At 39.7% G+C, this 17,786-nt stretch overlaps 1 protein-coding gene and 1 pseudogene across 6 annotated transcripts in view; one reads left to right on the forward strand and one right to left on the reverse strand.

Moving 5' to 3' along the window:
• Window positions 1–17,786, reverse strand: part of STAG1 (STAG1 cohesin complex component) — a 416,143-nt gene that overhangs the window by 240,702 nt on the left and 157,655 nt on the right. The window contains exon 2 of one of the 6 annotated variants that reach the window (XM_047447230.1): window positions 9,865–9,989. The exons of the other annotated variants lie outside the window; for them this stretch is intronic. The gene's annotated coding sequence lies outside the window, so the exon portion shown is untranslated. The remainder of the gene's footprint in view (window positions 1–9,864; window positions 9,990–17,786) is intronic. 6 annotated transcript variants of the gene reach the window in all.
• On the forward strand, window positions 11,272–11,374 carry RNY4P4 (RNY4 pseudogene 4; annotated as a pseudogene).

Raw genomic sequence — 17,786 nt, forward strand, 5'->3', positions numbered from 1 at the left:
AGATTCGTTTGCTTTGGATTAAAGATAGAGCTTAGCTCCTTGCCAAGGAAATGGAATGCTAGTAATCGATGTCATATAGTAACTTGGGAAAATTAATCAAGCTATTGCTGGTGGCTGATTGTGATAAAGTACCAATTCAAGCACATGCCTTGAAAGCTTACATGGCTGCTGAATTTAGGAATTACGGCAATAATTATGGCTGTAAAGGCAGCAGGGTTAAGAAAGATCCTTTTAAGTACACCTGAGTATTCACAGAGATAAAACAAAAAGCTCAAGTCAATTAATGCTCAGCTTAAGTCGTAATTTGAGAACCAGAGAACTTCCATGAAGAATCCTAGAATGTCTCATTTCTTATAGGTGAGGGGCTGATTTTGTTGAAAATCAAGCCAATAAAATCTAATTGTATCAGAGGCAATAACAGTTTAATTCAGTCTCACCAAGTTTCTCATCTGGAAGTAAGGATCTTAACTGGCAAAGAATGGGATCCAAAAACTTGGAACAGAGAAATCTGGTTGGTCCCAGATCAAACTAACAATTTTGAATAGCTCTCCCCCATCCTCCAAGTAATTCTGAGCCTCCCATACCAGTGGAAGTAGCTTGCTTTCCAAGGTTTGAGAATACTAGCCTTCTTAAGCTTGAAAGCCCTCTGATAACTTTACATGGACAGATGCCTTGAAGGGGGATGCTCATTCTCCTGAAGACTTACCAAAACCAGCCCCTGATGCCACTAGATCCATGACTAGGGTCAAATCTCACCATGCTCCAAGAACACAAATACACACTATAACCCAGAAGAAAATAGCTTATATACTCAACAGAAATCTGAGGAACATGTATGATAGTAGATTCTAAATGTATTTTACCAAAGGAGGTGGTATAAAACCATAACACGCCAAATTCATTGGTATCAGGCGCACTTACTAGAGATTCCAGACTTCATACATTAGTTCCTGTCGCTGAAAGTGACTACAACAGTTTATCTGGTTGGTGCACTGAAAGCTGGATTTAACAGCTGAGATACCAGAGCCTCCCTGGCCTTGACAGATTAGGGAGTTAGGAATGCTGGACTAGACTTACCATGTGAGAACTATACACATGCAGCCCCATTCCTCAACTATGCTCCACAAGAGGGCCCAGAGGCAATGAAAACTACAATAGTGAAGGGAGTAACTATATCTATGTGCTTTTAAAGTTCTGTAAGCTTACTCTTTTTTGTAAGCCAGATATGACTATGGGGAATGTGGTCATTAAGAGATTTCTATGGAGATGATGGGATCCCAAGGTAACACAGCCCAAGTGGCCACACTTAACCATCAAAGACCAAGAGAGCAAATTGTCTATAAAGGGCAGTAGGGACACACTGGTATTCACAACGTCTTGGCCTGCAGAGATCTTGGGCAGTAGATAACATTACCAGTACCCCTAGGAACAATATAGGTGGGCAGCCCACAAGAATACTGTTTGATTTATGGAGAAGAAAAAACTTTAGGCCTGGTAGGCAGAAATCTAACTTGTGGAGAGTTATGGACTCTCACCAGTCTCCAGACCTGTCTCAGTTCACAGACCCAGAGCCCCCTGACTGAAGGGGAACCAGATCCCTGTACAACTATTCCAAGTACATACAATAAATCTTTTAATCCTTTCCCAAAGGGACCTGTAGCCATTAATTAGAGATACTGTGCATTGTTGAAAGGAAATATCCAGACCTTTCATGTATTAATAGACACTGTCTCTGAATTGACATTAATTCCTGGGGATTCAAAATGCCATTGCAGTCCACCAGTTAAATCAGGGGCTTACAGTGGTCAGGTAATAGATGATGGAGTTGTAACTCATGTCTGTCTAAGAGTGGGACCACCACTGACCCACCCTGTGGTTATTTCCCCACTTCCAGAATGTGTAATTGGAAAAGACATACTTGGCAACTGGCAGAAACCCCATTATCAGCTTTCTAACCTACACGATTAAGGTCATTAAGGTTAAATATGGCTAAAAGGAAGTTCGTGGAACTTCCTCTCCCTACCAAGATAATAAACTAGAAGTAAACACTACATCCCTGGGAAATTGCAGAGTTTAATCAAAGACTTGAAAGAAGCAGGGGTGGTAAAATCTATTACATCTTCATTTAACTCACTAGTTTGGCCTATGCTGAAGTTAGAGGGATCTTGAAGAATGACTATGGACTATAATAAACTTAACTAGGTGGTTACATTAACTGTAGTGGCAGCCCCTGGAACTTGATATGCAGCTACTGACCTCACTAACTCCTTTTTCTCCAATTAACAAGAACCACTCAAAGCAAGTTGTTACCTGAAATGACAGAAGTATACCTTCGTACTCAACTAAGTATGAATGCTTTAGCACTATGCTAGTTCTCCTGTCTCTGCCATAAGGTAGTTGTATTGGTTATCTAATATCTCACAATTTCTGTGGATTCAGGAATCTGAACACAGCTCAGTTGAATCCTCTAGGGTCTCATTAGGCTGCAATCAAGGCACTTACCGTGCTGCATTCTAATCTGGATGCTCAACTGGGAAGAAGCGATTTCTAAGCTCACTTAGGTTGATTTCCTTGTGGTTGTATAACTGAAGCCCTTGACGTCCTGCTGGCTAATGGCTAGAGACAAACCTCAGGGCCAAGAAGCTGCCCACAGTTACTTTCTACATGGGATTCTCCAATGTGTCATTTTATTCCACAAAACATCACATTCTGGTAACATGTTCCAGACCACTGACTGCCCTGAAACTTTATTGAGGTGTCCACCAGGCTCTGAATTTGACAGGGTTGGAGGGGCAACTCCTACATTCTACTTTGCATATGTTTTACTAAGGCTTTAGATGTACTCCCCGTTCATCATAAACAATTAGTACAATGCTGTCAGTGTATACGTATAAAATATCAGTAAATAATTATGTAAATGCCAGAGGAGAAAAAAGCTAAAAGAAATGAAAACATTCCACCAGGTTGGAAGTGGAGAGGACAGAACAGGGGATTGCTATTTTGGTCACAATACCATCTGAATTTTTTTTTTTTTTTTTTTTTTTTTTTTGAGACGGAGTCTCACTCTGTCGCCAGGCTGGAGTCCAGTGGTGCGATCTCGGCTCACTGCAACCTCCACCTCCAAGGTTCAAGCAATCCTCCTGTCTCAGCCTCCCAAGTAGCTGGGACTACAGGCGTGCACCACCACGCACAGCTAATTTTTTGTATTTTTAGTAGAGATGAGGTTTCATCATGTTGGCCAGGATGGTCTTGATCTCTTGACCTTGTGATATGCCTGCCTTGGCCTCCCAAAGTGCTGGGATTACAGGCATGAGCCACCGCGCCCGGCTCATTTGATTTGTTTAAGTCATGTACATGTATTACTTAGATAAAAATAAAAAAGAAGAAAATAAAGATACGAATCAATAAATACTAGGTAAATAAAAAAACAGAAAAACTGTGGTGACAATATTAACATCAAGTTAGTATTAAAGATTAGAAGCACTAAACAGTAAAAAGGTGGCTATTATATGGTAAAAGGCTGAATATACAAAGTAGGCAAACAAATCATTTGCTCTGAGTTTGCATTTATTCTTGTATAATTCTTTTTTTTTTTTTTTTTTTTTTTGAGACGGAGTCTCGCTCTGTCGCCCAGGCCGGACTGCGGACTGCAGTGGCGCAATCTCGGCTCACTGCAAGCTCCGCTTCCCGGGTTCACGCCATTCTCCTGCCTCAGCCTCCCGAGTAGCTGGGACTACAGGCGCCCGCCACCGCGCCCGGCTAATTTTTTGTATTTTTAGTAGAGACGGGGTTTCACCTTGTTAGCCAGGATGGTCTCGATCTCCTGACCTCATGATCCACCCGCCTCGGCCTCCCAAAGTGCTGGGATTACAGGCGTGAGCCACCGCACCCGGCCTCTTGTATAATTCTTAAATCTAAGTTTTTCACCAAATTTTTTTCTCATTGAATTATTATTTTATTATTTACTACATCTAGACTCTACTTTGGTATATGGTATGAGGTAAAAATCTTGTGCTTTTCTTTTTTTTCAAGTTGTTAATCAACTGTCAGTCACAATTATAAGAGAAAGAAAGTATCAGGAGAACAAAAATTTTTTTGTAGAGATGAGGTCTCATTATGTTGTCCAAGCTAGTGAACTCCTGGGCTCAAGCAATCCTCCTACCTCAGCCTCCCAAAGTGCTGGGATTATAGGTATGTGCCAGCAAGCCCAGACAAGAACATAATTTTTAACTTAGTTATGTTATTGATACACTTAGGTCTATTTCTGTTCAAGTGATCCATCTGCCAGCTGTTGAGCTCCGCTAATTTACATTACTATTTTCTGAAGTTTTATGATACAATCTACAAATCGGTAGAGCAAGTCCTTCATTACTCTTCATTTCCAGAATTTTCTTGCCACTTACATGTAGGTTCTACTCAATCATTCAGCAAGTTCAAAAACAATCCCTAATATTTTGCTGTTGCAATACATATAAGTTATTTTAAAAAGATTTTTAAAGGAAACACAAATATTTCAGAAAAAAAACCACCTGTCTTTTTATCAAAGAAACGCAAATAGACCATTTTAATCTTTCAAATGACAAATAATGTATTTAAATGATGACCCTCAGTGTTGCCAGAGGTTTGCAAAATAAGTATTTACAATGCTGGTAGGAAGAGACAGCTATTTGGTTACATTTATACAAAACCTTAAAAATATTAATATTTTTGGACCCAGCAGCCCTAGTTAAACGAATCACATGAAAAATTATATGGGCATCAAGATTTTCTAAATGTTTACTTCTACTTAGGATAATGAAAAATTATAACACAATCAAAATGGAAATGAAAAAATGGAATTTTTTTATGGAATACCATATATTAAAAATTCACATATATTCAAGGAATATCAACAGTGGAAAAAATTAATCATTCCACTTTTATAAAACAAATATAACTTTAACATAAGCCTAAACCAAACACCAAACAAAACACCAGGAACCAAAATCTTAAAAATTATGACTATGTGTGATACTTTCTTCTCTTCCTTTTAAAGTTTTCTTCTAAATTTCTAACAAGAGTATATATGAGTTAAATAAAAAAGTAATAAACATTATTTTAAAAATTATACATCTAAAAGGAAATAATTTGTTAAATCATCTTAGTAAGTCACTAAGTGCTGACTATATACATTTTACAGTGGAAGGTGCTAAGTGGATACAAAAAGTGCTTACCATAGTTCCTGCTATAGGAAAACATTTAATCCTGCTTTGTTTTTTGTGTGGGGGTTGAAGAGGTGGGGGTGGGGGGTTAACAAAGAAACACAAATGTATCAAAGGTACATAGCCAATACCTGCAATGAGAGAAGTTCAGGTAATAAACACGGCTAGAAGAGGCTCACCACAGTTTTAAGGAGAGCTGAGGGAGTTTGTTTCACATGTAACAGATGCTTTTGAAGTAGCAGTTAACATTAACCACCTGTTTCTCAGAGAGCCATTAGCAAGAGCTGATAATGGAAAAAGGAAGGAAAAAATCCTTTGCTAGTTGCTAATGGTATAATGCCAGGCTTTAAATTTGGATCATATAAATTAGCAATTCCAGGCTGGGCACGGTGGCTCACGCCTGTAATCCCAGCACTTGGAGAGGCTGAGGTGGGTGGATCATCTGAGGTCAGGAGTTCGAGACCAGCCTGGCCAATGTGGCGAAACGCCATCTCTACTAAAACTACAAAAATTAGCCAGGCGTGGTGGTGCGTGCCTGTAGTCCCAGTTACTTGGGAGGCTGGGGCAGGAGACTCACTTGAACCCAGGAGACGGAGGCTGCAGTGAGCAGAGATCAAGCCACTGTACTCCAGCCTAGGCAACAGAGTCAGACTCCATGTCAAAAAAATAAATAAATAAAATAAAAAATAAATTAGCAATTCCAAGATGTTATTTCATGAACCAGCAAATCTCCACAAATAACTTGAGAGATGAGCAAAGGGTTGCCACAATAGTAAAGAAAAGAATCAAAAAAAGGTTAAGAAGAGAAATTCATTACCTTTATTTTTCTCTTTGTGCATAGACTAGTGTCAGAATTTTTAGACCCATTCTGAACTGCTATGCTTCTTCTCTATAGCTGCATTATTTCTTTATTACAAAATATAATGGTATCAACTAAGTCAATATTGAAATGAATTATTTTGATTAACCTTAGCATCTTATTAAAAGCAGTAGGCTCTCAGGCAATTCATTTAATACACAATTTAAAAGAAGATTAAATTAAAAAATTAATTCAGGGTAAGGGATATTGTATATGCTTAAGAAGGTATTGCCTGACTCAAAACAGGACCACTCAGAATCCTTCTCATTCTAACTTTTTTCTAGTTTTAAGTTAAATTTTAACATGATGTATTCTAGAACTCAATATAATATCTATAAATACAAAAAAAATTCTACAAAATCAGAACCACATTAAGTCCACTGAAACTGGGCTGAATTTATCATGAATTTTTTTAATGTTATCATGAAGCCAAGTATAATTAAAATAATTTGTAGAACAATATACTGACATAAATCAGCCTCACCTGATTCTCACATGAAGCCTAATAAGGGCCGGTGCAGTAGCTCATGCCTGTAATCCTAGCACTCTGGGAGGCCAAGGTGGGTGGATCACCTAAGGTCAGGAGTTCGACACCAGCCTGGCCAACGTGGTGAAACCCTGTCTCTACTAAAAATACAAAAATTAGCCAGGTGTGGTGGTGCACACCTGTAATCCCAGCTACTTGGGAGGCTGAGGCACAACAATTGCTTAAACCCAGGAGGCAAAGGCTGCAGTGAGCCAAGATCGTGCCATGGCACTCCAGCCTGAGCAATAGAATGAGACACTGTCTCTCAAGGAGATTTAAAAAACAAAAACAAAAACAAAAAAACAAACCTAATTAGACAGAAGATCAATTATAAGGAAACTAGGGGAGGGAAGATGTTTAGTGACTTGCCCAAGACCGTCCCAGTTAAATAATGACAACTTTCTATCTTTGTCTCCTCATAGTATTTTCCCCACTGTAAAATACCTGGGGATCAGCTACATGTCACTCAAAGCCAAACAAAACAAAACACCAGCTGGAGAGCCTATACAACTGTTCAATTTTAAAGCCAATTTATTCTAAACACCTAAGCCAATAAAACTTTTTAAATGACCATGTAATCTGTATCACCAACAATCGTTAAAAGCACAATGCTCTCCTGTCCTGGTACTCTAAAATACCATACTGGTCTTGGTTTCTTTCTCCTTATTCTTCCACTGATCTTCCTTCAAGATTATTTCCACTAAAAATATCTGGACTGGACACAATAAACTAGTAGTTCACACAGTAAAATTCCTCTATACATTCAACCAGTTCACAAAACCTCCTTGGCCCTTATCTAAAACTGGGCTATTATCCCAGTAACCTTGGAATATTACAGTACTTACTTTTTAGGTACTTTATGATAACTGCTGTCTCCTAGCTATTAACTATCACATGCAAGCCATCCTGTTTCTATCAGCATTCAAAAGACTGATCAGCCTTTAGGACCCTTGCCAGGATTCCTACCACCACTCCTCCACCTTGTGATAGATCAGCCTCATAAGCCATCCCTCCTTCCATGCCCAGTCACTGAAGCTTTGTTTCTTGGTTCAGTGTTCTCTATCCTAATTTGAGCCATAATGCTGAGGTATTTTGATATTCTTATTGAAGATACATCCAATATCTTTCAATCCACAATTTCTACTTCTGTAGGTCTGAGGAGAAGCTAGCAAGGAACATACCAAGGCAAGCCTCTGAGTGACAGGTGAAGGATGAAGTTTTAATATGGAATATGGGGCTTTTAACTTTCTTAATTATGTTTTTTCAGGTCCTCTCTGCATCCAGTTAGGAGACATTCATATCCCAGCCCATTAATGCTGCAAACAGCATGACATCTATAAACATTTTCTAAGACTATACATGCCAGATTATACTCTGTCTTGTTTTAAGTAACTCAGGACACTCAATGAACTACAACTACTGAAAGGAGTTCCTGGAATGAATCATAACTCACATTCTTGTTCTTTTTGCTGAAGAGTAAATTTAGATTACTAATATCTGGGTTACAGAGCCTTAGGAAAAATATCAAATAATTATATGAACTGGAACAGCTATAAATTTCATCTCCAATGCCTTCAACAATTATTTTACCTGTCCTAGATCAGTTTTCTCACTTACGTCTTTTAAATCAATTCCAGGCTGGGAGCACTGGCTCACACCTATAATCCCAGCAATTTGGGAGGCCAAGATGGGCAGATCACCTGAGGTCAGGAGTTTCAGACCAGCCTGGCCAACATGGTAAAACCCTGTCTCTGCTAAAATTACAAAAATTAGCCAGGTATGGTGGTGTTCACCTGTAATCTCAGCTACTGGGGAGGCTGAGGCAGCAGAATCGTTGGAACCCGGGAGGCGGAGGTTGCAGTGAGCCGAGATCACGCCGCTGCACTACAGCCTGGGCGACAGAGTGAGACTCCATCTCAAAACAAACAAACAAAACATCACAAAAATTATCTGGGCATGGTGGCCTGTAATCTCAGCCACTAAGGAGGTTGAGACAGGAGAATTACTTGAATGCAGTGAGCTGAGATGGCACCACTGCTCTCCAGCCTGGGTGACAGAGTGAGACTCAAAAATAATAATAATAATAATAATAATAAAAAAATAAAATTAATCAATTCCAATTTTTTCCTTTTCACCACTCTTTCCATCTGTGTTCATGTCCTCCAAGAATCCTAGCACTGACTCCAGATTAAGAAATCCTGTACTGAGATCAAAGGTCCTCACTGGAAGTAAACAAATCTCTTTTGTCTTCCTATCTCAAAAGCTAAGACTAAAACCTAGCAAATAGTGAGAAATTCTATCAACATACATTCAGTTTTCTTTAGTAGTTTGGAAACAAATTGTGAATTAGCTTTTTGCAAGGATTCTGCTTCATACATGATTCAAGTCAGTGTACAATGAGAAACTGCACAGGCATATTCAAACCAAATTTATTGAGAAAGAATTTTTAAGAAATCTCATTTATACCTGGATATAGCTTTATTCATGCAATGTTTTCTGTATTTCAATTCTTACTGAGGGTACATGCAGGATAATTTGGCTAGAAGCATTAAAGTAAGTTAGGTTCCCTCTTTGAAAATTAAACTAATAGAAAGTCCACCATATTTCATATATTTAAACATCTATAAACAATAATATAAATGAAGTATGTAAATACATAAAGTCCATTTTTCCTAAACATTAAATAAAACCAGTAAATGTATAATCCTTTATGTGTGTGTATACATATACATATACACACACACACACACACATCATAATCACAAACACTACAGTCATCTCTTTACTTACTTGATCTGCCCTAGATAATCTGTATAAAATTCTATATATATAGGGATAAAGCCTTTGGAAAATGATTTACGGGAAATCATGAAGGGACTTAATATTATCTAAAACACCCATGTTAATTTAAAACCACGTGTTTGAAATCAGCAAGTACAGAAAAATAATAACATCAATATATTTGCTAAAAGCTAAGCTCACGAGTAACAGTAGGTACCTTTAGGTGTAACTGAACAGAGGCTAAGAAAATTCCTATTTAAAGTTTCTAACTTCCTTCAAGGATCTAGCTCTAAGTAACCTGAAGGCAGTGAATGCTCTTCTTATCTTGGCACTAATCAGCAGCTTTTATAATCTATTGTGTTTTGGAGAAATTAAACAAAAGCAAAATATTTACTGCATGCCTTCTAATTACCTAAAAATAATTGTAGTGTGACTAATCTGTATGCACTAACATGGGGAAGCAAGCATCCAGCTATGAAATACATTACTTAGCTCACCTGAGTATGTGGTAAGTTCCCATCAATGGAATGTAAATAGAGGGGCCAAAGGCTTCTAAGAAGTAGACACTGCTTCTCTTTCTCTCTCCCCTTCCAACCAAGTGAATGCAAACAACATGAAGGCTCTAGGGGTAAGAAGAGCCAGAAAATGGAGGGGCTTAGATTCCTGAATCATCCTATGAAGAAAAGATAGCTACCACTAACTCTGGTATTGGATGGTTACATAAATGAGAAATTGTCTATCATGATAAGCTACTGATTTAAAGTACATTTTTTAACAGCATGTGAACTATACATGAAGCTGCTAGACTCATTTAAGACACGTTAAAATACCCAAAGTTAATTTCAGAGACTTTCTAATTATGTTAAAAAAAAAAAACAACTTCACTCTTAAGCAAATATTAATCTATCATCTGAGGATTTTCAAACAGCTATGAAATGAAAAAAGCAATTTGAGGCCGGACCTGATGGCTCACACCTGTAATTCCAACACTTCGGCAGGCCGAGGCAGGTGGATCACTTGAGGTCAGGAGTATGAGACTAGTCTGGCCATCATGGTGAAACCCTGTCTCAACTAGAAATACAAAAATTAGCCAGGCATGGTGGTAGGCATCTGTAATCCCAGCTACTCGGGAGGCTGAGGCAGGAGAATCGCTTGAACCTGGAAGGTGGAGGTTGCAGGGAGCCGAGATCACACCATTTGCACTCTAGCCTGGGTAACAAGAATGAAACTCCATCTCAAAAAAAAAAAAAAAAAAAAGCAATTTATAGCTTTTGACCCAATACATTCTGTATATTCTATGTATTACTTTTCATCCTAGGAAAATAAAGGGAAAACAGAACTAAATTGCTTAAAAAGAAAAATTAGCCAGGCCAGGCATGGTGGCTCATGTCTGTAACCCCAGCACTTTGGGAGGCCAAGGTGGGTAGATCACCTGAGGTCAGGAGGTGGAGACCAGCTTGGCCAATGTGGTGAAACCCTATCTCTACCAAAAACACAAAAATTAGCCAGCCAAAAATAAGCCAGGCGGGTCCCTGTAATCCCTGCTCCTCGCAAGGCTGAGGCAGGAGAATAGCTTGAACCCGGGGGGGCGGAGGTTGCAGTGAGCCAAGATGGCACCATTACACTCCAGCCTGGGCAACAAGAGCAAAAGTTTATCTCAAAAAAAACAAAACAAAAAAATAGCCTACACTTAACACAATATTAGGTCAAAGTAAGAGTAAAGATTAATCAAGTCCAAGGAAAATTTAGAAATTTGTCAAATACCTTTTATGTTAACATCTTTCCCTCATAAAAACATTCTTAACACATTGTTCAACAAATAGCAAAACATGAATTCGCTCTTCACTTGCTCATTATCTACTGGGGAGGGTAATCAATCAGTAGATATATACAAATATACACATGGCTGGTCTGATGGTAGTGGGTTATCAGAACTTATTAACATTAGTGTCATTAAAGTTGGTATACAACCCGCCACCCGCCACTGCTATATTTGACTGGTTTTTTGGGTTTTTTCTGTTGTTGTTTTTGGGCTTTTGTTTTTGTTTTGAGATGGAGTTTCGCTCTTGATGCTCAGGCTGTAGTGCAATGGTTGGCTCGATCTCGGCTCACTGCAACTTCCACCTCCCAGATTCAGGCAATCCTCCTGCCTCAGCCTTCCAAGTAGCCAGGATTACCGATGCATGCCACCATGCTGGCTAATTTTTGTATTTTTAGTAGAAACAGGGTTTCACCATGTTAGCTAGGTTGGTCTTGAACTCCTGACCTCAAGTGATCCACCTGCCTTGGCCTCCCAAAATGCTGGGATTACAGGCGTGAGCCACTGCATTTGGCTTTATTTTTTTTTTTGTCTCCCTCTGTTGCCCAGGCTGGAGTGCAGTGGCGCCATCTCAACTCACCACAACCTCCGCCTCCCGGGTTCAAGTGATTCTGCTGCCCAGCCTATTTTCTGTTTTTTTTGTTTGGTTGGTTTTGTGAGATGGGAGTCTCGCTCTGTCACCCAGGCTGGAGTGCAATGGCACAATCTCAGCTCACTGCAACCTCCGCTTCCAGCTTCAAGCAATTCTCCTGCTTCAGCCTCCCAAGTAGCTCGGACTACAGGCACGTGTCACCACAACCAAATAACTTTTGTATTTTTAGCAGAGAAGGGGTTTCACTATGTTGGCCATGCTAATCTCGAACTCCTGACCCTGTGATCTACCCGCCTTCGTCTCCCAAAGTGTTGGGATTACAGGTATGAGCCACCACACCCAGCCTTGTATTTTTAATAGACATGGGGTTTCACCACAATGGTCAGACTGGTCTGGAACTCTTAACCTCAGGTGATCCGCCTGTCTTGGCCTCCCTAAGTGTTGGGATTACAGGCATGAGCCACTGCACCTGGCCTATTTTATCTTTAAAAAGCCAATCAAGGCCGGGCGCAGTGGCACACGCCTGTAATCCTAGCAGTTTGGGAGGCCAAGGCGGGCAGATGACCTGAGGTCAGGAGTTCGAGACCAGCCTGACCAACATGGTGAAACCCAGTCTCTACTAAAAACAAACAAAAAAAAATTAGCAAGGTGTGGTGGCGTGTGCCTGTAATCCCAGCTACTTGGGAGGCTAATGCAGGAGAATCGATTGAACTCGGAGGCAGAGGTTGCAGTGAGCCAAGACTGTGCCACTGCACTCCAGCCTGGGTGACAGAGCGAGACTCTGTCTCAAAAAACCAAACAAACAAAAAACAAAAAATAGGCCAGACAGCAGAATCACTTAAACCCAGGAGGCGGAGGTTGCAGTGAGCCAAGATCGTGCCACTGCACTCCAGCCTGGGCAACAAAGGGAGCCAAAAAAAAAAAAAAAAAAAAAGCCAAATGCAGTGGCTCACGCCTGTAATCCCAGCACTTTGGGAGGCCAAGGTGGGTCCATCACTTGAGGTCAGGAGTTCAAGACCAACCTAGCCAACATAGTGAAACGCTGTCTCTACTAAAAATACAAAAATTAGCTGGGCGTGGTGGCACACGTCAGTAATCCCAGCTACTCGGGAGGCTGAGGCAGGAGGATCGCCTGAATCCGGGAGGCGGAAGTTGCAGTGAACCGAGATCGAGCCACTGCACTCCGGCCTGGGTAACAGAGCGAGATTCCATCTCAAAAAATAAAAATAAAAATACATAATAAATAAAAATACAAAAAATAGCCAGGCCTGGTGGCACACACCTATAATCCCATCTACTAGGAAAGCTGAGGCAGGAGAATCACTTGAACCCAGGAGATGGAAGTTGCAGTGAGCCAAGATCATGCTATTGCACTCCAGCCTGGGTGACAGAGTGAGACTCCGTCTCTAAATAAATAAAATAAAAATACATGTATCTCTGAGAAACAGAAGACAATTCAAACACTTCATGACTAAAAACTAAAGACTGGCTGGGCACGGTGGCTCACGCCTGTAATCTCAGCACTTTGGGAGGTTGAGGTGGGTGGATCACGAGGTCAGGAGTTCGAGACCAGTCTGGCCAACACAGTGAAACCCCGTCTCTACCAAAAAAAATACACACAAAAAAAATTAGCCAGGCGTAGTGGTGTGCGCCTGTAATCCCAGCTACTCGGGAGGCTGAGGCAGGAGAATCGCATGAACCCAGGAGGCAGAGGTTGCAGTGAGCTGAGATCGCGCCACTGCACTCCAGCCTGGGTGACAGAACAAGACTCTGTCTCAAAAAAAAAGAAAAAAAAAAACAAAAACAAAAAAACTAAAAGACTGGGAGAAATGCAGCTTATATTTAGCACTTTCCTACTTTTATGCTTGAATAACCTAAAAGTTACTCATATGACCAGGACTTATTGTAAAATATCCTGGACCAGTTCCAAATATTGGTCTAAGACATGTACAAGATGATGAGCTGTAACTGTAGAGTATAAAAATGAAGGAGTATAAAGGTAATTCAGCTGAATCTCTAAAGGGGTTCAATGATGATAGCTTTATAAAAATACAATTGTGGAGACACTATGGGTTATAAAATCTGAAAATTTCTGAGGATCAAATTAATTAATCAGTTCTAAAATATGTGCCCTGGTTTGACAGTTCACTGATGGACGTAAATATTTCATTTATCCAATTAGTTATCTGTGAAGTTCCATTTATTTTATCTGATGATGCACAACCTCTCACCAGGACCCCCCAGAAAAGCTGTATTGGTTTTGGTTGGGTGTTGTTTTGTTTTTTTTTGCATAATCTGACTGAAATTCAAACTCCATCTTTCACTTTATGCTTTCCCCATATTTTATTATATTTCATTAGATTTGTTATATTAAGAAAGTTGCTGCAAAATTATCAAAGACAAAATATGTACAAACATTTTTACATAATAAAATATTACTAATAGCTTTAATGAGTGACCTGCAGAATAAACACTGGCAGTTTGTGGACAGAGTCTTTTTTCAAAAAAAAAAAAAAGAAGGGAGGGAGGGAGGGAGGAAGGGAGGAGGGAGGAGGGGAGGAGGGAAGGCGGGAAGGTGGGAAGGCAGGAAGGCAGGAAAGAAAGAAGTAAGGAAGTAAGGAGGGAAAGAAGGAAGGAAGGAAGAAAGGAAGGAAGGAAGGAGGGAAGGAAGGAAATTGTTTAAGCAAAAAAATAATATTCCCTGGGCTTGGCGTCATGGCCATATGCACCTGTAGTCCCAGCTACTCGAGAGGCTCAGGCCGGGGAGGATCACTTGGGCCCAGAAGTTCGAGGTCAGCCTGGACAACACTGACCTATTTGAAAGGTCAACATCTCTATTTGAAAAAAAAAAAAAAATTATCTGTTAAGTGAGAAGCAAAGCATATGTATTGGTGGTATAACAGACAAGAAATATGGCTATTGTGCAAGTTCAAATAAAACCAAAATTTTCTTTTCAACAAGATGATAACTATGAAGTAGAATTCAGGATGAAGATGCCAAATCTTTCCATTTGGAACCAGAGAGAGATAATTAAAAGAACTAAATGCAAGAAAGAAAAGCACTGTTCCTCACATAAACTCATTAAACCTTTAAAAGGTATCCCATCACTTTGAAATGGCCCTAGGGTATCATCTTAACCTTTTCCTTTACATACTATCAAAGACATCATTCAATGGAGACCTCTTACATCTACCTTTGCTGAATTCAAGAGTCAGATTTCTTGGCCCTGGACCAAGAGTAAGAAAGAATATTAGAAACAGCACTTCAAGAAAGGTTGGGACATGAGGCCAGAAAGAGAGGTAGTCCTGGGTCAAAACCATCAAACTGAAGAATGGAAGGAAAGGGAGGAAGGGAAGTTGGGGATGATGATGGAGGAAGTATCTGCCTTGGACCGAGAATTAAGTTTCACTCTGAACTGATCCTGAACCCTCCCTTTATGTCTTCCCTACTACAGACCCATACTTGCTGATATAGTTTGGCTATGTCTCTACCCAAATCTCATTTTGAATTGTAATTCCCATAATCCCCATGTGTCATGGGATGGACCCAGTAGGAGGTAATTGAATCATGGGGGTGGTATCCCCTATAATGTTCTCATGACAGTGAGTGAGTCCTCATGAGATCTGATGGTTTTATAAGCATCTGGCATTTCCCCTGCTAGCACTCATTTTCTCTCCTGCTGCCCTATAAAGAGGTACCTTCCACCATGATTGTAAGTTTCCTAAGGCCTCCCCAGCCATGCAGAACTGCGAGTCAATGAAATCTCTTTTCTTTATAAATTACCCAGTCTCAGGTATTTCCTGATAGCCATGTGAGAACAAACTAATACACTTGCCCATATATTCAACTCCCTCAACCCTTGATCTCTATCTTCTTATATTTCCCCAACTTTCTCCTGATGGTGACCACCAGAACTACAATGCCAGCAACAATGGCCACCAGGACCACTAAAATGACAACGCTAAGGTTAGTTGCCAAATACTTCATGGTGGGTAAAAGTAGGTGGCAATTTCTTATCCACATAGAGATTACCAGCAGAAGGACTCTTTACACAACTGCATTCTGGGGCTGCCACAGGCCTAAGAGTAATTTATCCTTAGTCCTCCTCTCAAAATAGGCAGGGCAAAGTCCAGCAATAACCACTGTAGACAGTCTTCTGAAAGGTTTTCTGCTACAACTTGGTATAGATGATGCACTGCTTGTAGTGCACAACTTTGTCTGAGTTCAAAGGCACAGACAACCTGGCAATAATAATTTGTGACAAGGGTGTTGTTATCATTGGCTCAGGTCTTCCTTTTCCAAATTGTGGGTGCTCACTAGGTTCACCCACCAACACAATGATATCTGGCTGCACTAGTGGGCCTTTAAATATCCTTTCTGCCATAGCTGGGGTTGGGAAGGCAATCAACATCCAAAAAGGTATGCTCACTAAAGTTCACCATGCTCTGGTCACTCGCGCATGTTTTTTCAGAAATAAGGGATATAAACTGGAACAGTTCCTCTCAAAAGCCCAGTGCGTGGGACCAGGCTGGGACCCACCCTGCCCCTCACCTCACCCCAACACGTAGCACATTAACTTGTTCATGGTACATATTAGGTGAGATATGTCTGGTCTTCACCACTAGCAAGAAGCATTAGGCCCAGAATGCCCACCAGCGTCAGGCAACAGGAATGAAAACAGCACAGGAGGATATCCAGAGGGTGCTTGGAATAAAGACCTAGAGTTGGCTGCCTCCCATTGTGCTGCCTTAGCAGCTTCTTCCTTTTTAAATGGAAAATCCAGTTTTGAAAAACATCAACAGGTATACTTCTAAAATTACAATAAAATATACTTTAATGATTATTAAAATATTGAGAATTTCAATTATTTCACAATCCACCAGTCCCCATGGAAAAGACCACGTATCTATGATCTTTTACATATGAGAGAAATAAACATCTATCTTGTTTAAACAACTGCTATTTTCAGTTTTCCAATTTTATCTTCAGGCAAAGACTCTAAATGTTTAGAATATTATATGATTTTAAATTCTGTACCCAATATTTTGCACTGTAGCAGTCACAGCTATTAACACATTTCTTGTATTATACACTCAAGTATTAATTCTATTCAAGTATTTATATTTGCTTAGTTCCACAAAATTTTACTCCTTAACTTCATTACAGTATTTCTGTCTTTCAATGTGTTCTCCCCATCTTTGTCATGAAGTTTCATTTTAATCAATAGTATATGTGTCCTCTCATCTAATGTCTCAGTATCATTTGTTTATAATTACAATCCTTATACATTCTTTGGCCATTTTAATACTTCTTGAAACTTTCAAGCTTCTCAGTCAATGAATATTAGAAAATTATTAAAACACTTTTATCCATTCTATTAATAGCTCAGAAATGCATACAAGCCCTATTACAGTTACTATGTAACTGTCAGTTCTAACACTTACAAGTTAACAGGTAGAATTTAAATAAACCCACAGCTGCTTTCCTCTTTCCTTGGTATAGTCATAGAGTAAAACTCAAGCCCAGCTTGAGAATTCCTCTCCATTTGATGATACGAAGCGATTTGGCATGTAACTCATCTATAATTCGGAGGCTAGAAGAAACCAATGTCACTATAAAAGTCCATACTTTTCTTTGACACTAAAACAAAGCTTACTAACCCTAAGGGACAGAGAATGTCTGATCACAATTTCTAAGACACCTACCTCTTGCCCAATCATATTTAAATGGACAAAATTAGTTTCACCTTCAAAGTCAGTTGTCAAAAGCAAACAGAAGACCAAATTGTCTCACTAAGTATACTTAATTTATAGGTTAACAAGAGTTCCTTATTCACATAAGCTGTTGTTATCACTACACTAAGACCAAAGAAAGTTTGCTTAGTGTTAATCAACAGTTTTTAATTGTATATTAATAGATCATTTGATTGGTATAAACTATTTCTTCTTCCAAGACTAGAAAGTCCATGAAGGTAAGGGTCAGGTGAGTTTAATTAATATTGTAGCCCT

The sequence above is a fragment of the Homo sapiens genome, chromosome 3, assembly GCF_000001405.40.
Source record: "Homo sapiens chromosome 3, GRCh38.p14 Primary Assembly".
NCBI lineage: Eukaryota > Metazoa > Chordata > Mammalia > Primates > Hominidae > Homo > Homo sapiens.